The sequence below is a fragment of the Homo sapiens genome, chromosome 6 (assembly GCF_000001405.40).
Source record: "Homo sapiens chromosome 6, GRCh38.p14 Primary Assembly".
NCBI lineage: Eukaryota > Metazoa > Chordata > Mammalia > Primates > Hominidae > Homo > Homo sapiens.
Genome location: NC_000006.12, coordinates 5,204,563 through 5,231,627, shown reverse-complemented (window position 1 = coordinate 5,231,627; position 27,065 = coordinate 5,204,563). Strand labels below are relative to the sequence as shown.

At 41.5% G+C, this 27,065-nt stretch overlaps 1 protein-coding gene and 1 long non-coding RNA gene across 11 annotated transcripts in view, besides 2 other annotated features; one reads left to right on the top strand and one right to left on the bottom strand.

Annotated features, from left to right (window-relative positions):
• LYRM4-AS1 (LYRM4 antisense RNA 1) overlaps positions 1 to 27,065 on the bottom strand; it is a 236,681-nt gene that overhangs the window by 8,869 nt on the left and 200,747 nt on the right. The window lies entirely within an intron of this gene.
• LYRM4 (LYR motif containing 4) overlaps positions 1 to 27,065 on the top strand; it is a 229,198-nt gene that overhangs the window by 29,323 nt on the left and 172,810 nt on the right. For 9 of the 10 annotated variants that reach the window (NR_134856.1, NR_104417.2, XM_017011084.3 and 6 more), the window contains exon 2: positions 14,890 to 15,010. The exons of the other annotated variant lie outside the window; for it this stretch is intronic. Coding sequence is in view for 7 of the 9 variants with exons in the window: in XM_017011084.3 (XP_016866573.1) it covers positions 14,890 to 15,010 (121 nt within the window). In the remaining 2 variants the exon portion in view is untranslated. The remainder of the gene's footprint in view (positions 1 to 14,889; positions 15,011 to 27,065) is intronic. 10 annotated transcript variants of the gene reach the window in all.
• Positions 244 to 1,443: an enhancer, noted in NCBI's record as "P300/CBP strongly-dependent group 1 enhancer chr6:5230418-5231617 (GRCh37/hg19 assembly coordinates)". NCBI's record gives its function as "activates an origin of replication core promoter dependent on BRD2, BRD4, P300/CBP, MED14 and CDK7 cofactors, with strong dependence on P300/CBP, by STARR-seq in HCT116 cells {active_cell/tissue: HCT116}" and the evidence as "EXISTENCE:reporter gene assay evidence [ECO:0000049][PMID:35650434]".
• Positions 22,579 to 22,873: a silencer, noted in NCBI's record as "tiled region #15549; HepG2 Repressive non-DNase unmatched - State 15:Elon". NCBI's record gives its function as "represses a minimal TATA promoter and a strong SV40 promoter by Sharpr-MPRA in HepG2 cells {active_cell/tissue: HepG2}" and the evidence as "EXISTENCE:reporter gene assay evidence [ECO:0000049][PMID:27701403]".

Here is a 27,065-nt window from a genome sequence, read left to right as displayed (position 1 = left end):
CTTCTCTGCAACAGGGAAAATTAAAGCTCTCCAAAGGGAGAAAGGGTTACCAGATTTTTTTAGTAGACACAGGGAGGTGATTCACAGACTCATCTGCATAAAAATCTACATACAGCATTCAGAGCCCTTTAACTTCAAGAAGTGAAGTAAAGTTAGCTGATGGGCTCTCTTGCCCTGGATTCAATCCAGTATTCAGGGATTGAGGGAACAGAGGCCCAGCTTGTTCCCTTGCTGTCCTTTTAAAACCAGGACACTCGGGAAGCCCAGCAAGGTTTTGACTATGCTCTATAGCCTCCCTGAATTCGGCCCTGCAGCCTTTTTTAGTTACCACCTGGTTTGTAGCTTTCTTATGAATGGTTGAGGTTACTGTACACCTGAAATGTTTGGGTTTTTTGTGGGGTTTTTTTTGGTTTTTTATTTTTTTGAGACAGTCTCACTCTGTCGCCCAGACCGGAGTGCAGTAGCTGGGATTATAGGTGCCCGCCACCACGCCCAGCTAATTTTTGTATTTTTAGTAGATACACGGTTTCACCACATTGGCCAGACTGTTCTCGAACTCCTAACCTCAAATGATCCATCTACCTTAGCCTCACAAAGTGCTGGGATTACAGGCGTGAGCCACCGCACCTGGCCTTGAAATGTGTTTATATGGACTTTTTTTCCTTCTGAATAGCCCAGTAAACATTCTGACATTTCATACATTTTAGGAAGGGGGAGGGAGAATTGTTCTGCATTTTTGTGCTGAGTTCATCATCCTTGATGACGTGTCCAGAAGAAGGTAGATGACTGATACGTGTCCCCTTTTCTCCTTCCTTCCTTGCTCATGTGTTGTTGCCAGTGACTAATAGCTGTTGGAAAGGATAAAGTGAAAGTCATTTTATTTGACTCCTATTTCCTATTTCCATAGGAAATTTTAAGGAAGACATCTAATGACCAAGAGGAATTTTCATCGTTTGTGCTTTATTTCACCCATAAAGTGGAAAATCTAGAATTAATTGATCTACCATAGGTAGTTATTCTCCATAAATTTTAAATAATTTAAAGGCTATGTCTTACATTATTGGCAGGTTCACACTATAATTTTAAAATAAAATTTAGAAAACTGTGTTCTGTAGTCTAATATTTAACTCCTAATACCTGATGGAAGCTTGAGCTGGCTTTTCTGGTATGAGATCAAGCTCATTCTGATAGGTGGGGGGAAAAAAGAAGCCAGAAAATCTTTGCCATATACATGGAGCTTTTATACATGGGGACTATACTGTCACAGTGATACTTTTAGAAGAAATATGACCAGTTTCATAAGAGGATATGTAGATGTGAGGAAAGTGCGTTTTTTCCCCTGACAAAAGTAGTTTGCAGGACTCCACAAATGAAGCATGTGGTCATCTTTGAGTTTAGGAGCATGTCAAGAGGGAACTGTGGATCTTAGCTACAGCCACCAGTTCTCAGCCTTCAGCCTTCAGGAAATTGCACTGTCTAAATAGGCACGTCTAAAACCCAACAAAAAAGGAGCCAGAGACCTCGCGGCTGCTTGATCTGCATGCCTAACTGCAGACAAGCTAAACACGTTTCATTTTATAGGTGGCCTTTACTTTGATAAATTGGTTTACGTTTTAAAAAATCTTGTTTGCAACAAAATGTCAGTGGCTATGAGGATAAATCCAAGTGATAGGGTTTAATTTTGATAAATTATAGGTCAAAGATCTTAAATGTTATTAAGCACCAGAAAGGACGCCTGGGCAGAAATACTCCTAAACTTTTCCTCTAGAGACTGAAAGGAGCATCTGCTATAGAATGGTGATGTTTCTTTCTTTCCATTATTTTATTGATTTTTTAAGACAGTGTTACTTTCAACAGACCCCATAGAACCTTTCTTAAAACCTGCAGATATATGAAACTGTCATATTGTTTTGAATATACTTTTTTTGCACATAAATTTCATATTTATCTCAACAGATATCTTTCAGTTGATTTACCATAATTTCTCTGACTGTTTTTATTGGACATTTACATTAGGACTTCAGTCCTACTTAGGGGGCTGAGTCAGAGGATAGCCTAAGTCACAGGAGCTGGGGCTTTGGGAATTTTCTAACTGTGGAGGAAGAAATTCTGCACCACCCACTGAGCCCTGGAGAGAGTTCTTCTCTCCCTCTTTGCCCTTATGTTGCACCCATCTGTCAAAACTGCACCTGTGGATGTAATCAGACGTCTGCCTTTTCTATAACTACACCTGGGCATCAACCACAGCTGGAAGACAATCGCCCGCTTTGGCAAATTGGTACCACCACATTGGCCATTTCCAACCTCAACAGCCTTTTTCATTTGCTTGGCAAGTTCTGGAGTCTGCCCACACTGTTTCCAAAGTGATTGTCCAAAACGAGGCTCTTCTCAAACTTCCAAACCTCTTCACTTTTTTTCTTAAAATTGTTTTTTCTGATGTGTAACCCAAGAGCCACGACGTTAAAAAACAAAATTGTCTTAGCTGTGTCTACTGACCTTTTTTCACTTTGAACTTGTTTAACAAATATTTTTAAAACCTTGTTCCCTATTTTCTCATGGGAACTGTACTATTTTCCTTTTCTGGGCTATTAGGAAATATTCTTTTTTTTTTTTTTTTTTTTTTTGAGACTGAGCCTCGCTCCGTCGCCCAGGCTGGAGTGCAGTGGCGTGATCTTGGCTCGCTGCAAGCTCTGTCTCCCGGGTTCACGCCATTCTCCTGCCTCAGCCTCCCGAGTAGCTGGGACTACAGGTGCCCGCCACCACGCCCGGCTAATTTTTTTTTTGTATTTTTAGTAGAGACGGGGTTTCACCGTGTTAGCCAGGATGGTCTCGATCTCCTGACCTCATGATCCTCCCACCTCAGCCTCCCAAAGTGCTGGGATTACAGGCATGAGCCACTGCGCCCAGCCAGGAAATATTCTTAATTATTAAACTTTGCTAGTATTATTAACAAAGATATTTAAACCATTAAGTTTCATCTAAATATGGCTTTGACTATATTCCAAAGATTTTATGCATTATCTTTTTCATTATTTTAAAGACACTTTCTTGGCTGGGCATGGTGGCTCAAGCCTATAATCCCAGCACTTTGGGAGACCAAGGCAGGTGGACTACCTGAGGTCAGGAGTTCAATACCAGCCTGGCCAACATGGTGAAACCCTGCATCTACTAAGATATACAAAAATTAGCCAGACATGGTGGCATGCACCTGTAGTCCCAGCTACTCCAGAGGCTGAGGCATGAGAATCACTTGAACCAGGGAGGTGAAGGTTGCAGTGAGCCGAGACCGCATTACTGCACTGCAGCCTGGACGATAGAGCAAGACTCTATCTCAAAAAAAAAAGAAAGACTTTCTTATTGTGTAATGAATTTCCTCCAAGGTCCAATTATTATTTATGACTACCTCCATGAATTTAGGGGGTTTTTCTGCCATATTTACTACATTGTGATCAATAGGTATATGCTGGTGTTTTTTCGTTTTGTTTTGTTTTACTTTAAGTTCTGGGATACATGTGCAGGTTTCTTACATGGGTATACAAGTGCCATGGTGGTTTGCTGCACCTATCAACCCATCATCTAGGTTTTAAGCTTCACATGCAATAGGTATTTGTCCTCATGCTCTCCCTCTCCTAGCCCCCCACCCCGCAACAGGTCCTGGTGTGTGATGTTCCCCTCCCTGTGTCCATGTGTTCTCATTGTTCAGCTCCCACTTACGAGTGCGAACATGTGGTGTTTGGTTTTCTGTTCCTGTGTTAGTTTGCTGAGGATAATGGTTTCCAGCTTCATCCATGTCCCTGCAAAGGACATGATCTCATTCTTTTTTATAACTGTTTAGTATTCTGTGGTGTAAATGTGCCACATTTTCTTATCCAGCCTATCACTGATGAGCATTTGGGTTGGTTCCAAGTCTTTGCTATTGTAAATACTGCTGCAGTAAACATACGTGTGCATGTGTCTTTATAGTAGAATGATTTATAATCCTTTGGGTATATACCCAGTAATGGGATTGCTGGGTCAAATGGTATTTCTGGTTCTAGATCCTTGAGGAATCACACAAATTCCTTGGGGAATTTCCACAATGGTTGAACTAATTTACACTCCTACCAACAGTATAAAAGCATTCCTATTTCTGGTGTTCCTATGCTGGTGGGGTTTTTTGCAAAAATCACTGACATCCTAACAATCTTATCTACTCTCTGTACAATTTGCCTTCTTGTCTCCTGTGAATTATCCTGGCTTTCCTGCCTCTACGTTGACCCTTCTTGCTCCCTCTCCTTTCATAGATCCTTCTCTGCCTGCTCTTAAATATTGGTATGATTTCTCCAGGGCTCCTTCCAAGGCTAATGGCTCTTCCCATTCTATGGCTTTCATCGGAACAAGCTCTTCTTACCCCATGGTGTTGCCTCACACTTCCTTGTCCCTTATTTTCAGGTTTATCGACAGTCTGAACCTCCTCACCTTAGCTCCACAACCTTATTTCTGGCAGCCTATTGGACATGTCTACCTTGTCCCATTGTTGCCTCAAAATAAACGGTCTAAAAATATACTCATAGAGCCTGTTGTCTTTATCAACTAAATACTTCTTAATCCAACCCCTCTTCTTTTCACCAGGGTTTAATTCCTCATCATATATCTCACCTGCTTATATGCGTAGATCTAATTGTATATACCCTTCCCCATTCTCTTCTCACACAATTTCAGCCCTCTCTACTACTGATTTTTCCTTATTGTGGTATATTACTGATTTTTATTATATCAATAGGAACTTTAAAATCATTAAGAAATAACTGTTATTGTAGTAATTTAGGAGGCATAAATTTCAATAACCAAAAGTAATTATTGTTAACATGCTGTCATATTTCCTTCTAATTTTTCCTACACATATATTTTCCATAATTGAGATCATCCCGAATATCAAATTGTATCTTTCACTTTTAAAAACGTAACAATGGGCCAGGCGCGGTGGCTCACGCCTCTAATTCCAGCAATTTGGGAGGCTGAGGCGGGCGGATCACCTGAGGTCGGGAGTTTGAGACCAGCTTGACCAACATGGAAAAACCCTGTCTCTACTAAAAATTAGCCGGGCATGGTGGCACATGCCTGTAATCCCAGCTACTCGGGAGGCTGAGGCAGGAGAATCGCTTGAACCCAGGAAGCGGAGGTTGCAATGAGCTGAGATTGCGCCATTGCACTCCAGCCTGGGCAACAAGAGCAAAACTCCATCTCAAAAAAGAAAAATCTTAACAATGGATGGTGAAGTTAGATTCATATTCAACAACTTCCACCAAAACAAACTCCGGAAAGACCAGAGTTAAACATGAAAAACTAAGCCATGAAACACATGGCTTAATGTCCTCAGGAACATGTTCTCAGGAACACATGGATGAATATTTTTTTAAATCTCACAATAGGGTAGGCTTTTATACATATGATGTGTAACACAGAAGCCATAACATAAAATTTGGTACACCGGACCACACAAAAAGTGAACATTTCTACATCACAAAAATAAAAAGCACCATAAACATAGCCAAATGGCAACAAACCAGAGTGAATATTGTAACTCTGCACAAAAGGCTAGCTTCTTAAAGACCTCCTTACAAATCCATTCAAAAGACCACTCGATTAAGAAAAGGCAAAGGATATAAACAGAAGTACAAATAGACCTGGGACAATGTGGTGGACATCATACATGATGAGAAAAAGGCAATTAAGATGAAATACTGTTTTTCACCTATTAGACTGATTAGCAAAGATCAAAAAGTTTGATGATGCACTGTGTTGGCAGAGATGTTGGGGACATAAACTTGTACTTCCTATGAGGAAAACAGCCTTATAATGTATAATTTTTATAATATTTTGCCCAGTAAAATATTTATCTATCTTTGAACTATCAGTTCCACTTTAGAGAATACATCCCACAAATAGACATGCACGTGATGCTACTGTAAGCAAGAATGCTGATTACAGCATTGTTTGTGGTAGCACAATTGGAGACAACCTAAACATCCATTAATAAACGGCTACCTAAATGAATTCTAGTTCATCTATACAATAGTATATAACCATTTTTAAAACTAAATCACCTTTATTTGTATTATCAAATGATCACTAAGATAGATTTTCATTTAAAAATTAAAAGCCTACAGTATGTTTAGAATGCTACCGTTTGTGAAGGAAAAAAAATGTACACGTAGAGATTTTAATATGAACCTAATGTCTCCAGAAAGCTGTATAAGAAACTGCCAACTGTGATAGCATCTAGAGAGAACTGGTTGTTTAAGGGACAGGAATGAGAGGGCGAATGATTTTCCACCTTACATCTTTTTTACCTGTGACTTTAAGTTTTTTTTAAACATCTTTTTTTTTTTTTTTTTTTTGATTCGGAGTCTTGCTCTGTCACCCAGGCTGGAGCGCAGTGGCGCAATCTTGGCTCACTGCAAACTCTGCCTCCCAGGTTCACGCCATTCTCCTGCCTCAGCCACCCAAGTAGCTGGGACTACAGGCGCCCACCACCACGCCCAGCTAATTTTGTATTTTTAGTAGAGACGGGGTTTCTCCATGTTGGCCAGGCTGGTCTCAAACTCCCGACCTCAGGTGATCCGCCTGCCTCGGCCTCCCAAAGTGCTGGGATTATAGGCCTGAGCCATGGCGCCCAGCCTATTTTTTCAGACAGTTTCACTCTTGTTAGCCAGGCTGGAGTGCAGTGGCGCAATCTCGGCTCATTGCAACCTTCGCCTCCGAGGTTCAAGTGGTTCTTCTGCCTCAGCCTACCGAGTAGCTGGGATTACAGGCATGCATCACCATGCCTGGCTAAATTTTGTATTTTTAGTAGAGATGGGGTTTCACCATGTTGGTCAGGCTGGTCTCAAACTCCTGACCTCAGGTGATCCACCCACCTCGGCCTCCCAGAGTGCTGGGATTATAGGCAGGAGCTACCGTGCCTGGCTGAAACATCTGTTTTTAAAGCTATATAATTTCATAATTTATGTAGCCAATTCTCTATTATTGAAAACTTAGGTGGTTTCTATTTTTAATGCTTATAAATCTAAAACGAACATCATTCTGTATATATCTGCATATTTCAGGTTATTTCTGTAGGATAGATCCCTAAAAGTAGGATTACTGGGTAAAATATTAAGAACATCAGTATCCATCCATTAGTATACTGTTTTCTTCACAGGAAGTACCAGTCCGTGCTCACACCAGCAGGGTGTACCTGTCCCTTTGTCTTTTCAAAAACTGCAGGTAATTTGATGGACACAAAATGATGCCTCATTTAAATTTTCATTTGTTTGATTGTGACTGAGGCTGAACATTCACACATCTATATCTGTCTGTTTCATCACTCTGTGGTCTCTTGTGAGTTATTGTTTTATGCCACTAATTTATTTACTGTGGTCTTATTGTCTTCTCAATTTATATGTGCTATTTGTATTCTAAGGATATTAATATTTTGTGATATTTGTTTCTAACTGTCTTAGGTCTTTAAAGATGAATAGGAGTTAGCCAAGAATCCAGCTGGAAAAGGACGCTCCATGTGTGGAGAAATAGCAGGCCTCCAGGAGAGAAAACCAGGGAGACTGCAAGTCTTCCAGGATGGCCGGAGTTGGTGGTCCTTGCTGGAAGCTGCTAGGTGGAGTGGGAGAGATGAGCAGGAATCCAGAGAGTCCTGTAGGCCATCCATGCCGATGCAGTTGACCGTTATCTCAAGATAATGGAAAACCATTAGGCATTTTTAAACAGGGAAGTGTGTAATAGGTTTTATTCACAACTACCCAAAAACCCGAAGCTTTGATCTCCAAAATGGATTTTCTCATGGTAATTTCACCTGCCACTCCACGAGCCTCCATTGGTTGCCCTCTTCCTTTTTAAAACAATTAAACTCAATTATTTCACTTAGTCCTTTTATTAATAGCTCTTTCCCTTGAAATGCTCTCGTCCATTTGTCTTTTCTTAAGACATGTTTGGCGCTGAACTATTTATAGGAACACTTGAAGCAGAGTTGAAAAGTTAGATGACCTTTTTAAGCTTTGTGATGCCAGAGACAATTTTTTTTAATGCCTGTTCAAATGGACAACCACTCGGCTTTATACCAAGTACTTAACAAAGATTGGATAGGGCTTATCGACCTGTGGAGGAGGAATAGCCTAGGGTTGAAAATCACAGGCTCTAGAGTCAACTGGGTTCAGAACCCAGCTCTGCCACTTACGAGACATGCGATCTTGGCCTACATTTTTGAAATCTCTCTGAGTTGTAGTTTGTGAGGATTAAATGAGATCAATATGTATCAAGTACTTAGCACACTACTCTGTGCTTGGCATGTGTATCAGAAATTGATGATATTCTTTTGTTATCCTATTGTACCCTCAAAACAGCAATGCAAATGACTGTGGAAAGCAGCCCTTTTCTTTGAAGATTTGAAAATAGGTATCTGAGGATGTGCTTATCTGTATTCCATTTGATATTAACTGCTTAAAATTCTTTCTTTGTCCTTAAAGTATTCTTTCTCTTAACCTTGGAGTCCAGGGTTTTATAAGTAGATATCTTGGCATTGTCCTCTGGTTGTTAAATTTCAACGATGAGTCTTCTCAATTTTTTATAATCACTTCTGGGACATTTCCTTCCATTATAAATTTAATTACCCATGCAGTTCAGTTTGTTCACACTTATTATTCATAGGTTATACACCTTTGCCCTATTCTGAAGGTTAATTTTTTTCTTACATATTTCTCACCAACGTATTTAATTTTTCCATGCTTTAGATTTGAATTTCTAGTTTGTCTTGTTTTAATTCAGTGTTATTGCTTCTGTCAGCCATGTACATATTCTCTAGCATTCTAATCTTTCTTTTTTTTTTTTTCTTGTTTTGCTTTTCTTAAAAGTGGGCAAATGTAATATAACTTCTATACTTTTTTTTAATTTACTTTAATAGTCATCTTACTGAGGAATAATTTACATACAATCAAGTGCATCCATTTTAAGGGTACAGTTCAATGATTTGACAAACCTAAGGGCATGTGAAAACACCGCCCCATTCAAGAGAAGGACCACTCCATTACCTCAAACCAGTCCCCTTGGGCCCTTTGTGTTAACTTGGAATGGCTTCTGTTTCTTATTTCATCTCTTTATCTACAGATCTTGTCACCCACCGAACCTGAGACCAGTACCCTAGTTATTCTCCACTGTATTCCCAGCTCCTGGCATAATGCTTATATAGTAGGCATTTAGTATGTATTTCTTGAATAAATTGTAATTTTGAATTTTGTAATCATTGCCTTCTAAAAGTTGTTTGAATCTTTTTGCTGCAAACCCTTTTTTCATTGTTTTGTTTTCATTATTGGTTATTGGTACTTTTCTTGAAGGTCTTTTTGATATTGCCTATGATATTTTGATAAGCTCATTTATTCATTAAACATGTATTGAATATCTTCTCTGTACCAGACACATACAGTGGTGAGCCAGAAAGATTAAAGTTCCTGCTATGTGGGGCTTACATTGTACCAGGAGCTCACATTATCAGAAAGAAACTTTCTGCTCTTCTTCACTCTGTTATATACCCAGAGTCCGTGTGACCTTCAAATGATCCTTGAGCTTCCTCTCCATAGGCATCGTGATCCATTTGATTATACACTACACACATACACACACCATAACCCCAAGGATGTTAAATAACTTCGAGAGAGAAGAGCCTGAACCAAGATTGGGGCTGAGGAGTTGGAGAAGTAGAGGTGATTCAGAAGGGATGTGGAAAGTTACGATTGGAAGATTTGTGATTGGTTGCATATAGGGAGTTCTGGGAAAGGAAAGAATTTAGGATGAGTCTCTAAGTATTTGACTTGGGCAGTTGACTGCATGAAGATTCTCCTACCTGAGGAAGGAAGTATTGGTCATCATGAGCACTTCAGGTTTTTGTTTGTTTGTTTGTTTGTTCTTGAGACATTGTCTTGCCCTGTAGCCCAGGCTGGAGTGCAGTGGCGCGATCTTGGCTCACTGCAACTTCCGCCTCCGGGTTCAAGCAGTTCTCCTGTCTCAGCCTCCCAGGTAGCTGGGATTACAGACATGTGCCACCGCACCCAGCTAATTTTTGTATTTTTAGTAGAGACAGGGTTTCACCATGTTGACCAGGCTGGTCTCAAACTCCTGACCTCGTGATCCGCCCGCCTTGGCCTCCCAGAGTGCTGAGATTACAGGCATGAGCCACCGCACCCAGCCAGGCACTTCGGTTTTGAATGTATTCACTGGAAGAGTCTATATTTTAGTTGACAAGTGCAAAAGGCAATTGGGTATATGGATTTGGACCTCAGAAGGAAGGTCTGGACTAGAGAAATATTGGTAGCCAATGGCATCTATATGGCAGGTGAAACCTTTGACAGATGCAATTACTGGCAGAGATCTTATGAATAAGAAAAATGGTTCACATATGTGCCCTAGAGAATACAGCATGTAAGGGGCAGCAGAATGAGATGAGCCCACAAAGGAGCTTGGGAAGGAGTAGCTAGGCCAGATATAGTGGCTCACACCTGTAATCCCAGCACTTTGAGAGGCCAAGGCAAGAGGATCACTGGAAGTCAGGAGTTTGAGACCAGCCTGGGCAGCATAGTGACACCCTCTCTCTACAAAATGAAAATTAGCAGGTCATGGTGGCATGCTGCTGTATTCCCAGCTACTTGGGAGGGTGAGGCGGAAGGATCGTTTGAGCCCAGGAGTTTGAGGCTACAGAGAGCTATAATAGGGCCATTGCACTTCAGCCTGGGTGACAGTGAAACCCTGTCTCTGAAAAAAGAAACCTAAAACTGGAGGTCTGTGTATTGCAATGAGTGCTCTTTAGACATTAAGACTTGAATATGAAGACTTGACCTCCAGAAATTAACAAGTAACAGTATCATGGAGGCATGCAACACAGTATTGTCAGATGGCATGACCTCAAAGATGCATAAGGGTGAATCAGTGATCTGAAAGCAGCAGCAGGCTCCCGGAATACACCAGCACCCTCCTCTGGGCCCTGTGGAATATGGGGACATGCTAGAATTTAGCAGCTTCCTCTTGCACATTTCAGTTAAGGCAAGTAGGTGGAGGATGTGTCCTTCCAAGTCATTGGAGGTAGATGAGTTTGCCCCACAGAGGCCAGTAGAAAGGATTCAGCTTTTATTGTTCCTAGGATACTTGAGTTCAGGTTACAGAGGACCAAGAAAAGGCACAGATGTGTTTATAGGATAGGTACACAGAGAAACCAGCACTTGAGATGCTGATGAAGATGACAGAAATGAAAGGCATTACATTAGGTGGTTTCCACATCACACATTGGATGCTAAAGCTGATATGAGCCTCCAAGTGCTCAGAGGCTGTGATTATGGCTGCATTTGGTGTTTCTGGGAGGGGACAGAGTAAAGCAGAACCTCAAGCACTGAAGAGCTTTCGTTACTGCCTGCTGTGCAACAGGGAAATTGGAGTTTTGAGTGGAAGAATCTCAGAAAAGAGTATAATCCTTGCAATGGTAAAAAGAACCTGTGGGCACTTGAGATCTAATGACAGAATGAAGAGCAAAGGCTGGGGTGGAGAAGGAAAGCCAAATGGGAGTCTCCTGTGCAAAGAAGCACCAAGAAACTGCCAAGCTTCAGGAGAGTGGAAAGGGCAGTGTGTGTGCGAGCATCATCACCTCACTGTTTCTGTGGCTGTGGGGCTGCTGCTTTGTATTTGGTTGTGTTGCCCTTTCTGCGTTAGTTTTTCATGCCGTATTTCAGACAGCGTCTGACTCATTAGGATCATCCTAATGCACAGCATTGTGTAGCACCTAGCTGCCATTTTCACAGCAACTTCTGCAAATTTTTCTTTGAAATATTCTTGCTCAGTGGTATGGTCAAGAGGCTGATAGCCAGAATCTGCAAAAAAGAAAAGCAAAGAAAAAAGAAAAAAAAAAAAGCAAATGATAAAAACCAGGGCAGGGCCAGGATTGAAATAACTGGTGATTAGCCCCCTCCCACCAAATTTGAAGATTCACTCAGATTTTTGATGACTTTCACAAAGCTGTGATCATTCGAAATAAGAATTCTTACAACTAAGGAAGAAACTCTTCATGCAGTAGTAGTTTTGTGGTTCTGAGCCAGTGAAATATTTTCCCTTAGGGCGAAGAATAACACTGGGTGCTTTAAGTGAGGCAGAAAGAGCAGGAAAGAGAGGAGGGAACCATTACAGCATTCATCTCGAAAGTGCATCGAAAATTTGAATCATGACTCTTGATTGCTTTAGACACATTTAATTCCAAGATCTAGAGCTGCTTTTCTTTAGGTAAGGACTTTGGAGAGCTGGGGAGACAAACAAGTATACATAGCAGAATATCCTGACCCTGGGCCTTGAGCTCAGTTGATATAAATTGTTGAGTGTTTTAAGCTATTTTCTCATTTCCTTAAACTTTGGAAGACCTTAGGTCTTTACATTCCAAACAGTACTCCTTTTTTCCTAGCTATTCTAAGCTAGTTACTAGCTTTTAGAAAAATGAGTTTAGCAATAGCTACTGTTGCCCATTTTGTTTTTCCAAGAAGCCCATGCAGCATACGAAATGAAAAATTTAAACAATAGATGATTCCTGGAGGTAAATTCATGTTATAAACCAATTTTGCCTGTGGAACAAATATTAGAATTAAATTATTTTGTCCCCTCTTTGCTGCCATCATTGCCAAAAAAGAAACTGCTTTGGAGGAGTATGTGGTTGTCAAGAAGAACAGTGATGCTGTGTTTTATAAATAGCCATTAGGCTATGCAAGAAAGTGCCAGAAATTGCTGTTAATTTACCTAGCTGCTATCTAAAATCTTGTTAGATTAGCAGCTGCACCTGAGGAGAGTCTGTATCTGATGTATTCCATTTGTAAAATCCTCCCATATCCCTTTAGAAGTGAATGAGCCCCAGTTATTTAGCAGCTGCTAGTACATGGATTCCATGCCCAATCGCTGTAGCCCTTTAGGATTGATACTGAGCGCTCAGCAGCTCCTCTGAAATACTCCAGCTGGTTCACAGAGGGTTAAGATCAAAGTCTCAGCAGTGTCTTACATTCTAAGTACCGGTTCCTAAACTCTTCCCTTCTCCTTTATGATTCCTAGTATCATAAGATTTAGTTTTACTCTTGCTTTTAAATGCAAATAGACCTGACATTTGAATTTTTTAATGTAAAATGCCTTTTTACTTTAAAAAACTTTATCTGAAACAATTTGTCCTTTTTAAGATAAAGTTTCCCAATAAGTTATATGAGCTCCCAACACCCCCTCCGCGCTGCTCCCAAGGAAATTTATATCCCCTCCTCTCATTTCTTTGCCTGTATTTCCATTCTTCTGTTGCTAAATATTACTACTGGCATCACATGGATTCTTTAACCGGTGCTCCAAGTTAAAAGCAGAGCAGTCTGTGATCATTAAGAAGACGAGAGAGCCAGGCACTGTGGTGTGTGCTTGTAATCCTAGCTCCTTGAGATGCTAAGGCAGGAGGATAGCTTGAGCCCAGGAGTTTAAGACCAGCCTGGGCAACGCAGCAAGTCCCCATCCCCCAAAATTTTTTTTAATTAGCCAGGCGTGGTGGTGGGTGCTTATAATCCTGGCCACTTTGGAGGCTGAGGCAGGAGGATCACTTGAGCCCAGGAGTTTGCAATTGCAGTGAGCTATGATCATGACACTGCCTGGGCAACAGAGGGACACCCCATCTCTAAAAAAGAAAAAAAAAACATAGAGAAAATGGTGTCTCACATGCCTGGCTCAGTCTGCTTCTCCTTAGTCTTATGCCTTTCAATCTGGAGTAGTTGGGGTAGAGCTAGAGATAGGCCATAGCCATCTGAGTATGAGGCTGTGTCTAAGGACTGCTGAGCTGTCTGTTGTGGCTAATTATCCACACCACTCTACCTTCTGTACACACACTATGGTGTGACTGTAAGGATGCAGGATGAAGGCAAGGTTATGGCATGAGGAGAGGGAACAGTAATTGCATTAAGGCATAACAAGTGTTAAGAAGAATAGCTTTCATTTATTGAGTCTTTCTATGTAACAGGCTTTGGGCCAAATTCCAGACACACATTATAAAGCCTAGTCCTCCCAGCAGCCTTTAGCAGTATTATGCCTTTTTGACAGATGAGGAGACACGGCCTTGTGTTAAGAAGCTTGCCCAAGTTCACACAAACAGTAGAAGCTGGAGCAAGGCTACAAACCCAAGCCTGTCCGATGGGCAAGCCTTGCTCTGGAACTGCTGTCCTGTACTGCAAGTGAGCTGTCTGGTTGGGGGTGGGTGGTAGGCGTGTGCACTTTCAAGATGGAGGTAAAGAAAGCGTGTTGGCCTAATTCCACAGGTTCAACTGTGGTGGGATCCTAATGTGGACAACAGAAAGGGAAGTGAGAGCCAGAATATGGGACAAGGACTGGAAAGCATAGGTCACTATCTGGGTACATGCAAATACGATCGTCATGTAACCTCTGAATTTTTTCTTCCTTTCTTTTAAGACAGGGTCTCGCATTGTCGCCCAGGCTGAAGTGCAGTAGCACCATCATGGTTCACTGCCGCTAACCTCTGAGTTCTTGATTTGTCTCTGTACACTAAAGGTTCAATTATCCATGTAAATGGAATGAAGCCAGATGTGAATAAGGCTAAAGAACCAATAATCTAAGGAACACTTCAGTAGCAGTTTGCCATTTGTATGTGACTTGTTGAGTAGATTTATTTTCCTAAATCTGTTTGCTTAGTCATCCCAGAATGGTAGTGGATCAGCCTGCGCCACGAGCAAAGATCAAAGTGGATTATCCGTAGGGGAAGATTAAACAGTTAATTCTAAAGGAAAAACTTTAAAATTCATTTGAAAGCATAGCCTCAGACACGCTGACACCTTTTCTTTTTTTTCCTCTGAATTCATTTAGAACATATGCTGTCAGGAGGATAAGAGATGCCTTCAGAGAAAATAAAAATGTAAAGGATCCTGTAGAAATTCAAACCCTAGTGAATAAAGCCAAGAGAGACCTTGGAGTAATTCGTCGACAGGTAAGATGGTTCAATGATGTACTGTTTTTCATTAAGAGCTTTAAACTTCGACATATTCCCCTTGATTAGACAGCCGTGCTTTTGGTGTTGGTGATTTACAGAGCAGGATCATGAAACTCTGTTCCTTGTACTAATACAGACATGTAAAGGTGAACTCTCATATTTTCAGATTCAAGTTGAACTTAAAATACCAGCTTTCCGGAATTTCCAGGGAGTGTATCCTTCTGGAAAGCTGATACTTTTAAGTATGAGAAACTTCTGCATTAATTTTTTTGAAAGCTAAGTTTTTGTAAGATGTATCGCACATGTGTACTTGGATATATTTCAGAGTATAAATATATTCTCCCTTTCCTAGTATTTTTAATCATAATTCAGGATAAACAGAACGTGGCCCTTTTCTTGAAGACACCATTGTGGGTGGTGAACCTGAATTACGTTGCCACATGGGAGGTGCATCTGCAGGTGCAGATGGTGTAAAGTACAGCTGCTTGGGTGCTGACCCCATAAAGGAACCTGGAGGGTGTGTTAGTTTTCGTTTTGTGGAAGTGCCAAGGATCACCTTGACTTGTGCTTCCTTTTCTCATTCTCATGAGGTGGGTGGAGCATGTGCAGCGGCATGATCTCCTGCGTGGTCTGATAACATCCGCAAGAGTAATTAGAACGTCAGAGGTTAAAGTCACCGTCCACTGATGGGTTTTCTTGCTCTCTAAAAAACACCCTTTTCACTGTTTTTCTTTGACTTAGCAGCAATCACGCAATAAACTCCATTTCTGCTTCCATTCGTGTTTCCCTTTTACTTGCAGGAAATTTGCTTATAAAGTGTGGAGGGGGAAACTCTTTACCATTTTTGTAAGTTATGCTGTGCTGTTTTGAAAGGGCTTCTTTAGCATCAAGAGATGCCAGCTTGGCTGACATTAAATTAGATAATAATCTTTCCCTGACCCTTCTTCATGCTTGACTCTAAAAAGAATTCAAAAAAGAAGCAATATTTGAAACTATAATTTGCAGTTTATGTCAAGATTAAAGGTCTTGTTATATTGCCTACATAATGTAACAGTTCTTTCTAGAATAGCATTTCGGATTCTCCTAACCATCCTTGAGTTCTACAGCTATTTAGTAATACAGTAACTGCCACACTCAGACAGGCCTAGGAAATGATCTCTAACTAAAGCCATGAGGATAGTAAGGTACTCAGAAAAGAAACTGATCTGCACATTTATGTATACTTTGAGAGTGGCATTTATATGAGTCAGCATTTTGAAAACTCTAGAACAATGGCATTTCCAGTCACCAGTAGTTGAATTTTATGAGGTCCTTTAGCAGTGGAGCATAGAAGAACAAGCAGCTGAGTTCTTACTTTGCATAAACTCAGAAAGATTTTGTTCTTTGGCACTTACTCTGTGTAGAGGTTGGCAAAACAGGCAGGTTTTATCTTTAGCGTAAAATTATCCAGAGTATAAACTGCCTAGAAAAGGGGGATTGTAAATAATCTGTGCCATCATTTCTCCCGCTATATCTAATTGTCTGTGTCACTTCTTGGTTTGAAATGCTCAAACTACCCTTGCAAAAAAAAAAAAATACTAAACTGGCCCTCATCTGACATCCCAGTGAGTTCCCCTCCCAGGACAGACGCACTGGAGCAGTGGCATGTGCAGGGCAAGGGCGCCCTCCCCAGGGCAGCCTGGCCACTGCACGTTCCCGATGGAGAATACACACGGCGACCTTGCAGAACAGCTTGCTGTCACCACCTCAGGGATGAAAGCATTCTCATCCCTTCAGAGAACCAGTTAGACAGCAGCAGCTGGGAAGTTTCTACTCACTTCCCTTTCATGTCAAGACTCTTCCTGAATCCACATGCAGCCTTTACAGTAGTTAGGGCGTAAGGCACAGTGGCTCCCCCGGCCATCTGGCTGCAAGCTGGCGTAAGTTGCCTTTGGACTAACAGCCTATGGCAAGGTGGAGAGTCTGTATTCTTGCACACTGTTCTCTGTAACTGGCTGCTGTAGCAGCCTTCTGACCTGTCCTCCGGGTGCCCCTGCCCCTACTCCACCCCACACATGGTCTGTTCTCCACACACCACCACCACAGTGATCTTTTTCAAAAGAAAGATCGGGCCACTGCCCCGTTCAACCCCTTCAAGGCTCTTGCTTCGTGACACCCTAACATAAAACCTGAAGCCAGTGTGAGGTCCCCAGAGGCCCTCCATTGCACTCCTCTCCCTCACACTCCCTATTTCCTTGAACTTCTTGCTCCCATCTCAATGCTTGTGCACCACCTGCCTGGAGGAGTCCCTCCAAATGTTCCTGTAGCTCCCTCCCCCTTCCACCCAGGCCTGTGCTCAGATTTCACCTTCCCATAGGGGCCCCCCTGGGACCACACTATCTAAAACAGATTCTCTCTCTCTCCGCTGCCCTGCCTTAGTTTTTGTGACAGCACTTATCAGTACCTACTATGACATTACTTGTGGCCTTGTCTATTTTCTCCCTCTTCTGCAAGACGGCAGGGGCCATGAGGACAGGGATCTCCCCTGTCGCTGTCATCATCTCCACTGGGTGGCGAAGAGCATGGACTCTGCGGCCAGCCGGCCTGTGTTCACATCCTGACTCAGCCTACTAGCTATGTCACTCTGAGCAAGATATTTAACCTCTCAGTGCCTAATGCAAACTGCAGATGAAAGTAAGCCCTACTTCATGCGTTGTAGTGAGGATCAAGTACACTAACATATGCAAAGCCCCCGGGATAATGCTAGCACATAGGAAATGTTATGCAAATGCTTGCTGTTATTATCCACAGGATCTAGAACATCCCACATAGAGCTGGCTCTTAGTAAGTTTTCACTGACTAAATAAATGCATGAAGTATGTTCCCTGAGATCATACATCTCAGTGGCAGGGTCTATACCACCAAAATCAGGGTGTCTTTTTGGCCACCCACAGTCTCCCTCCTGAAGGAATGAACCATGAAAGGAATATGGAAATCTGATGGGGATCGTGACATATTAACCCTCATGGAGTTGTGATACTCTTCATATCACGTCTCTCTCCCACTTGAAGATTTGGACTCCAAGCCCCACCCACCCAGGTGCACATGGATCCCAGCTTCACGGTTCCACCAGTGAGGAAGCCCACAGCCACTTTTCCAGCTGCCAGACATGCATGCCATAAAGGCAGTGCTCACACTGAAATCTCACCCACAACACTTACCTGCTCACCCTGCTTTCCACTCATTCTTCAGAGGGTGGCTTCTTCAGTCACGTGAGTCAGCTGTGGTGCTAATGATACCCCTCCACCCCCGCGTCCCATAACCCTAGTAAGTTTTGCTTTTTAAAATAAGTCTCTGGACAAAAATGACCTGGTTTTCTGGGTAGAGAAACCGAGATGCAGGAAAGGTGGAAGCCTTGTCTAAGGCCACATGGCCAGGCGTGAGCTCAGGTCTTCTAGCTCCTTAGAGCAAACTCAGAAGTTCAAGGACATGGGCTCCTGAGTCAGTAGAAACTGAAGGATAGTCTTAAGTCATCCTCCCATTTTGTTCCGATGGTATTTAAGGAGCACTTCAACTCTGCTCAGAGGTCATTCATTCTTCCTTTATGTCCTTAATGTGCAAGATCTTCAGTCTTCATTCTGGCAACCCTGAGGGATTCTAGATACATCAGCATTTGTTAGCCTTCACACAGTCCTTAAGGATTACTCTCATTCCAAGAAGTGGCAGCTCGTTTTTCTTTCATGATAAGCAAGTCAGCCTCCTTTTGCCCATTTTCCATGATTATGGCCCACTCAGTAGAAGCCAGACATACACTTGTTCTTTCCTTAACATTCTTGGACCACGTCTCCCCTGGAAAATTACCATCCAGTCTGTCAGTCTCGAATCTCTTTCCCACTTCATGCCTCATGTCATAGCCCAGAATTAGCAGAGACATTCTTCTACCTTTTGATAAAGTGCCATTATTTCCATATAAGATGATTCTGTAAAGCCAGCTGACCCTGAAAGCTCTTATAGGTTCTCCCTCTCTGCAGAAAGCAAGTTCTGGGCTAGCCCCCACTAAATCTAATTTCCCTATCTGCCTCCCAGGTGAGATCAGAAAGATTTGAGAGGCCTTTTATGTCCAGACCAGCTGGAGCCAGAAAGAATGGACAAACCTGGGTGGTTTGTAGGCTTGGGCAAATAGCTCTCAAACAGTCTGAGCAGCAAAGAAGCACCAAAGGATTTCTACCCCAGACAATTAACAAGGCTTCGTAGGTGTTTTACATCAGGAACAGCAAAAAGGCAGCCAGATTTTGCTTTTGTCTTTGTACTTTGCTCCATTTTGCTGTTCTAAATAAAGATACTCCTCTGGACCCTATTTGCAAGGCGTTAGTTAGAATAACTATCAGTAAACTGCCCTGGCTTATTGTAGCTCTGCAGTTTGCCACACCCCTTTGGTTTTTAAACAACTCTAGTGTACCTTGTTTTGTGTCACTATTTCCTGTCTGTTAGCACCTGCTCTTCGAGCATCTTCTAGAGACCTGCAGCATCAGCATCACTGAGGCACCTTCCTTCCCTGTGTAGTTCATAGAGATTTAGTGTTCACCAAAGAGAAAATATTTTCTAAGCATTTTGAAATAGAGTTGTAATCTTTGTTATAGAGCTAGCTTCATAGCCTCATGTCTAGAGAAAACAGTAAAATAGAGTGTTGGGAATGGGAAACAGGAATGGGAATGCAGCACCAGAGAAGTTGCCAGAACTGGGTTTCTGGATTCTAATGAGATTCCCCTGAACAAATGAATTAAGATCATGATTTCAGGAATATTCAGCAAAATCTAAGTATTTGGATGAAAAAATATATTGTTACTATAGTACATAATTGTGCAGTAAGAAGATAAACTGGATGTGTTCTAATTCTAGATAATGGTAGGGTTTTGGAGTCATGCCCATCTTCCCATCAGCTTTTCAGGGGTCACTGTTTTCTACCACAGCAGCTGTTCTTAAGCTTGTGCTTTTTTAGTTAAGGAACTCAAAATAGTGGATGTATTACACCCAAGTTCAGAATCTGCAGTTGTAAGAAATTAAGAGCAGACACTATGTACAGCCATTAAAGATCATTGGAAAGGGGTTAACATTACACGTAGCATCCATTTTTGTTAATGTAAGTGTGAGATGAAGCATTTTCAGTGTTTCTTAGCTTACACTTTTTTTTTCCTTTTGTAGATCGCTAAGCAAAGTAATTTGCTGAATTTATTGATGTTTGGGGTAGTGGTAGTTGAGTCTCTGAAACCATACTTATTTTTACTTTTATTTGCTATTATATGGTTCAGTGTTTGAATGTGCTGTTGTGAAATTAGAAGCTAGTAAATCATGACCAGGCCCTCTCTCATTGTCAGTCACTGCAATATCCGCTCCAGTTCCCTAGATGGTGGTTAAAACTTTAATGAAAGTGATATCTTACCCACAGTTCTCATCCTTTTACAACAGCCTGAGAAAAAGTAGGTATGTTTGAGGTCCTTTGCAGGAAAACAGATAGTGCACCCCATATCTCTCCACTTGTATGCATTTACCTTAAGTATTATTAATATTTGATAGTTTGAGAGAATTTATAAAATTAATATGCCTCTTGTTTTAGTGGAATAAAGGGAAGTCAATCCCTATCTAAGGGACATTTAAAATACATGAAAATGATTATATACTATTCACAATAGCCAAAAGGTAGAATCAATCCAAATGTCCATCAACAATGAATGGATAAACAGGATATAGTATATACATACAATAGAATATTATTCAGCCTTAAAAAGGAACAGAATCCTGCTACATGTTAGAATATGGATGAACCTTGAGGACTTAACACTAAATGAAATAAGCCATACACAAAAAGATACTGTATGATTCCATTTATATGAGGTGTCTAAAGTAGTCAAATTTGTAGAAATTGAAAGTAGAATGATGAATAACAGGGGCTGGAGGAGGAGAAAAAGGCAAATTGTTTAATTGGTACAGAGTTTCAATTTGGGAAGATGAAAAAGTTCTGGTCATGTTTCACAACAATATGAATATACTTAACACTGCTGCACTAAACGCTTAAAAATAGTTAAGATGATACATTTTATGGTTTGTGTTTTTTCCACAATAAAAATAAGTCCCTTCTTTTTCAAAACGAATTATAGCCAGTCATTGGTTTTTTTTTTTAACTGGAAGCATGAAATTAAATTCTTCAGATGCTGGTATTTAGGGATAGGAAGCTTAAGTCATTTGAAGCTTGAACTAGTGAATTTACACCCGCGAGCCCTCTGTTTTCTCATCTGTAAAACCAAAGGATTATACTGTAATTTCTAAGGCTGCTGCCAGTTCTAAAATCCCATGGTTCAACATTCACATAAATATCTGTCCCCTTCTTCTCTATTTACAGAAACTACTGATACATGTTAGACTGAATTACTCTATGCCTGGTTTTCCTTGGCCATTTTTCACCAAGAACTTAACACTACAGAGTTTAGGCTGCAGATGAACAAAGTTATATGCCAGCTATATATTTATATCATTATAGATTCCAAAGACTTCTCTTCATCTAGCCTTTCTGTTAGAAGGAAACCCAGAAAATTGAATTATTTCATTCATATTGTTAGCACCTCTGCTGTTAGCCTTCTTCCTTCCTGGTAGAAGATGTGTTACCAGTACTAGAATATATCTCTGATCAGACAGTTTTCTTCCAAAGAAAATGAAATAATAGTTGAAGAACAATAATGTAATAACTGATAGGCAAAGAGAGATTTAAATGCTTTTCCCAAGCCCCATCTTAATGTTTATACTAGTGTCTTGGTTTGATTTCTCCCTGTTCCCTGGTTGGCTTCTCAGCTATGTTCCACATCATCTGCTGGATAAGTAACACACACTGTGTCGTTTACAATTCCATTGCCCAAGGTTTCTTTTCCTAGATATTTACTGAGCACCCATTCTATGCCGTATAATTATGAAATGGGGAGTTACCATGGAATTATGAGGTCCTTCCGGCCTTGTAGAAGTTCTTTCTCATTTTGACTCTTCAGGGACCTAGCACTCTTCCCACTTCTAATGTCCCATCTGTTCGCTCATTTAATAGAACAGGGATAAAGTTTAAAAGCATACGCCAGCAGCACTTTCCCCTATACCTTTATAAATCAACTACGATTAAATCAAAGGATCAATCTACATATTTAAAAAGTAATAATAGGCTGGGTGCAATAAAAATGTAATAATAGGCTATTGTAATAAAAAAGTAATAATAGATTCACACCTGTAATCTCAGCACTTTGGGGGGCCAAGGTGGGTGGATCACTTGAGGTCAGGAGTTCCAGATCAGCCTGGCGAACATGGTGAAACCCCATCTCTACTAAAAATACAAAAAAAATTAGCCAGGTTTGGTTGCAGGCACCTGTAATCCTAGCTACTTGGGAGACTGAGGCAGCAGAATTGTTTAAACCTGGGAGATGGAAGTTGCAGTGAGCCAAAATCGCGTCACTGCACTCCAGCCTGGGCGACAGAGTGAGACTCCATCTCAAAAATAATAGTAATAAAATAAAAAGTAATAATAAACCCATCAGAGGCAAAGGAGATTTAAATACTCTGTCTTGGACTTCAATAAAAATCCTCAGGAAAGCAACATGAATTTATATACAATGACCAGAACTGCCCCCTAAGTGAACCCTATATCTTTTGGATATAAGAAGTTTTTCCAGATGAGTGGAAAATTCCCCAGCCCCCTGTCGAAGTTTAAGAAAGCAAGGCAATGAGACAGTTTGTTTAGTTTTATAGCTTGGCCCCTGTATGACATTCATTTGTTCAGTCTATTTAATATATAATTCCTCTGCAGCTATAAAAAGATGTCTTCAAATAGGAATTTGAACTAATTTCCTCCCTGCTTTTTCTAGAAATTCCAGTAAATCCTCGAGTCTGGGGCAACAGCATTCCCATAGTTGGCGTTCCTGTGGAAGGAATGTCTCTCATTTGGTTGGAGATTGCCTGTTAGTTTTGCTTGATTCCTCCGAGGATGATGTGCATAAAACAAGATTCCATTTCCTTTCTAAAAGAAGCCTGTCCCTATGCGTCTTTCATATACAACAGTTTTCCTTTAGTGTATTTCCATGTGCTGGAGTGCTCCCATAAAAGGCAGCAGTAATGCTGTGTATAGAAAACTTTTGCAAGAGTTTCATTTGGGAATTTTTATTATGATATCCATCCTTCTCCCATTTAGTCCTCATATCATTCACTGTGGAATTCCTTAAAGAACTGTTTTGATGCTGAAGCAGATATTATTAACTCTGGCAGAGAAAGCACATTGGTCTCACAGGCAAGAAGCGGAAGTTCTCAGCTCAGATGATATTTTACCTCATGATCTCAGGCAAGTTGCCTATTTGCCTAATTTACCACATCTGTAAAGAGTCAAGTTTATGATGGTGGTGGCAGCAGTGATGATGTGTGCTTGTCAGTGCTGCTTCCTTACACACACACTGTGCACCACACACTGTACTCCACACTTTGAATACGTTGTCTCAGTGTCTCCTAAGAGAAAGGAACTCTTATCCTCATTTTTTTAGGTGAGGAAATTCTGACCTGACATGCTGGGGTAATTCTCCCAAGGACACACAATTAGGAGAATGTTGGGCCCACCTGCACTCTCACTTGTTAGCCAGCTCTCAGAAGAGGGATCAGATTATGGGTGGCCTTATCTTGACAGAAGGAGACAAGACATTGAAGATGAAAGACAGTGGCAAGATGCATGTTTCCTTTTTCTAATTGTTCATTTAGAGCTCTTGTTAGAAGGTAACAGCTTACCCTCTGTAGGCTCATGAATAGCTTGATCCCTAGAGGCCAGGCTCCTTTATCACATATCAGAAAACTCTCTCTCTCTCTGCCGTCAAAAGAAAATAAATACGAAAACTACACTCCGAAAATGTGAAAGTTCAACCACCTTATTTAAGAAGTATTTGCTCAGAATTTCCCCATAGATCTGAAGGCTACAGCTCCAATTGTGCTTTTCCAGACAAGCTATCACTGAAGTACCCTTAAGTGGAAACTTTTTGATGCCTCACTGCTTGTCTTGTCCTTTCAAGTAATCAAAGTTGACTCCAGTCCTGCTTATGCAGAAGACCTTCTCCCAAGATGACAAAGGAACAGTGTCACATCTTTTAGGAAAGACAATCCAAGGGGCTCCCCCTTGTTTGTGTTAATTTGTATTTCTGTGTTGCACCCTCTGTGGTGCAGGGAGGTGATGGCCCCTTGCCTGCTGTGTATATGAGGGCGTGCACTCATTTTCTGAGCCCTTGCCTGCTGTGTATATGAGGGTGTGCACTCATTTCCTGAGCCCTTGATAGCTGCAGCTGAATTTTCTTTTCGGACTGGATGGATTTCACCTGTGTATATGTGACAGCTCATTTCATCAGTGCTGTTGGGAAGATCTCTCCTAATTATACATCTATCAGTCTAAAAAACGGCGTGGCTTTTTCCTCCCTGAGATATAATAGGAGTGGTGAGTAAGAGAAGAGGTTTTGAGCAAGGTACACCTAAATTTAAATCCTAATAACACTTACTCAGTAGCTGTCTATCCTTGGTCGTGGTATTGACTCTGTCTAAAGTCATGTCATCACTCAGTGTTTCTACTAAAGGCGAAGGAGCACCATTCTAGTTTTGTACTCAATGTGTTTTTGAAATACCAGAGCCAAGCTATCTGTCAGAAATTGTATATCTTCCCTAGTCTGGTAATGAAGCTGCGATTTCATGGATTGGTCAGTTACATGGATTGGTCAGTTATGAATACTGAAAAGGCGCTAAGAATTCTCTAAAATGTGGTACCAGAATGCCCTTAGTTTGATTAAATAATGCTAGTGTGGAATTAAATCAGTATTTTACTTACTTTCTTTTCCCCAAACATTTCCATTTCATCCAGTCTAAGAAGCACTTCTCTTCTCCCCACTCCTCCCGCCTCTTCAATGGAGTAAAAATAGCACCAACCCTGAAGTCATAAGGATTCCCCTTCAAAGTCTGTCACAAGTTAGTGATAGCATCACCATGAAGTCCTCACCTCTAGGCCTCACCTGTAGAAAGTAAGAATTTGAGCATATTGGTTTCCAAGATCCCTTATAGCACAAGAATTTTTTCAGGAATTGGCTCTATTGTTACAACCTAAATTTAACTGCCTTGTTGAGATCCTTGGGGTTTCTTTCATTAGACTATTCCACTCCACTGATAAGTGAGTGCATTTCGGAATTACACACAGAGATAGCTAGGCCATGGGGGCCCAATAAATACTCACTGATTGTTGGCCCAGCGAGCCAGGAGACCTAGGTTCTGCTCCCACCCCCCACTGGCTGGCAGCCAACCCTCATAGGCCAGCTTCCTCCTGTGGATAAAGAGGATTGCTCAGTGTATCTCTAAGGTCCCTTTCATGCCTGACATTTTCTGGTTCTGAAAATAAATGCTAATGATTGCCAAGTCCCAGAAACACCCTGGTGAATGCTGGATTTTGACCAAGGGTGAGCTATGTCACTGACCCTCTCTATTGACTGAACTGACTATAAAGGGAAAGCCTGACTGCCCAGATCTCCCAGCAAGTGTGTTTTCTTGCACATGGGGGAGTAACTGGATGATGTAATGCTGAGTTATGTAATGCTGGTTCTTCACGGTCGGCTCCAGCAGCGGGGCCTGTTTGAGAAAAGCCTGGAGCTGCACTTTGTGAAAGCTTTTGACACCCAGCAATGGCAGGAGTGTTGCATGGATCATGGTGATTTCTGGGGTACTGTGACCTGGAAAAGAGAACCTGCCTTTTCCTACAGGTGATAGGTTATAGATATCTCATTTACGAATGAGGTTTCCCTCCCTGGAACTCATCAGAGCTTCTGAGAAGGAGTGAGGTGGAGAAGGGGGAGCTGGTAAAAATAGCAAAAATAAATTTTCCTCTTGCTTTGAACCAGGTTCTATTTTAGCAGAGCCAAACTTAGTGTTTTGTTTTTTAAAAAATAAGTATCAGCTATTATTTGAAGCTCACTGCTGTCTGTATAGCTGTTCATGTTTTTTGTAATATTAAAGTATTTTTCCTACTGGAAATAATTTTTGAAACTCAGCCTGTTTTTTTTTATAAGACATTGACCATACTTTTTTCTCTCCCTGGCAGTTCAGGGAACCACTCGGAAAATGGCTTGCTCCTGTCTATTTCTGTACTGTGTTCAGCCTGTCCCCCGATAGTCGTATTTTATGGCCAGCCTCTGCAGTATTCCAGTTGATTTGTAACCATGAGTCTCTCTCCAGCCAGATTGCAGGATGCCGGAGGGCTGGGCCTTCCATGTCCTTGGGACCTAGCACAGCACGAGGCACACAGCACACCCAGTGCACTTGTGTCTGCATTCACCTCCTCCCCTAGGGAAGGCCTTCAGTGACCTTCCTGCCCCTTTCTTCCTGCTGCAATCTCATTGTTCTCTGGACCAACAACACACTTTATTGTGACTTTGCTTAATAGCATGATCACATTGTTTTAGAATGGCATTTTAATAAGTCATCCTGTCCCTACCCTGTGAGCTTCCAGAGGATTAGCGTTGTTCTTATTCACTGTGATCCCCAGTGCCTTGTTGATGCAGAAAGCACTCCATTAATGCCTAATATAATAAGGCCAAGCTGGCTTGGTAGGAAAACGTAGGGAGTTCCGCTGAAACTCAGAAGGATGGTTCCAGTCCAGACTCTGACTTGCTTTCTGGCCAGAAGTCTTCACCTACCCTGTGCACCACTTAGCATCTTTGCGAATAGACAAAGTGAGATGATGTGCACTAGCACCCTGTGGAAACAGCAAAGCTGCTGATCAGTGTAAAGCAAAAAGTGACCGAGGCAGATCTCAATCGATAGAGGTTTATTTGGCCAAGGTTGAGGATGCACCCGGGAAAAAGAAACACAAGTCACGGGAGGATCTGTCATCTGTGCTTTTTTGAAAGAGGGTTTTGGGAACTTCAGTGTTGAAAGGGGAAAGAGCATGCAGGAGAGGAAAGGGAAAAAAAGGAGAGAGGGTAAGCAGTGAGGCAAGTGGTTCCTTCCTTGTGAGGCTCTGACTAGCGCTCAGTGAGTC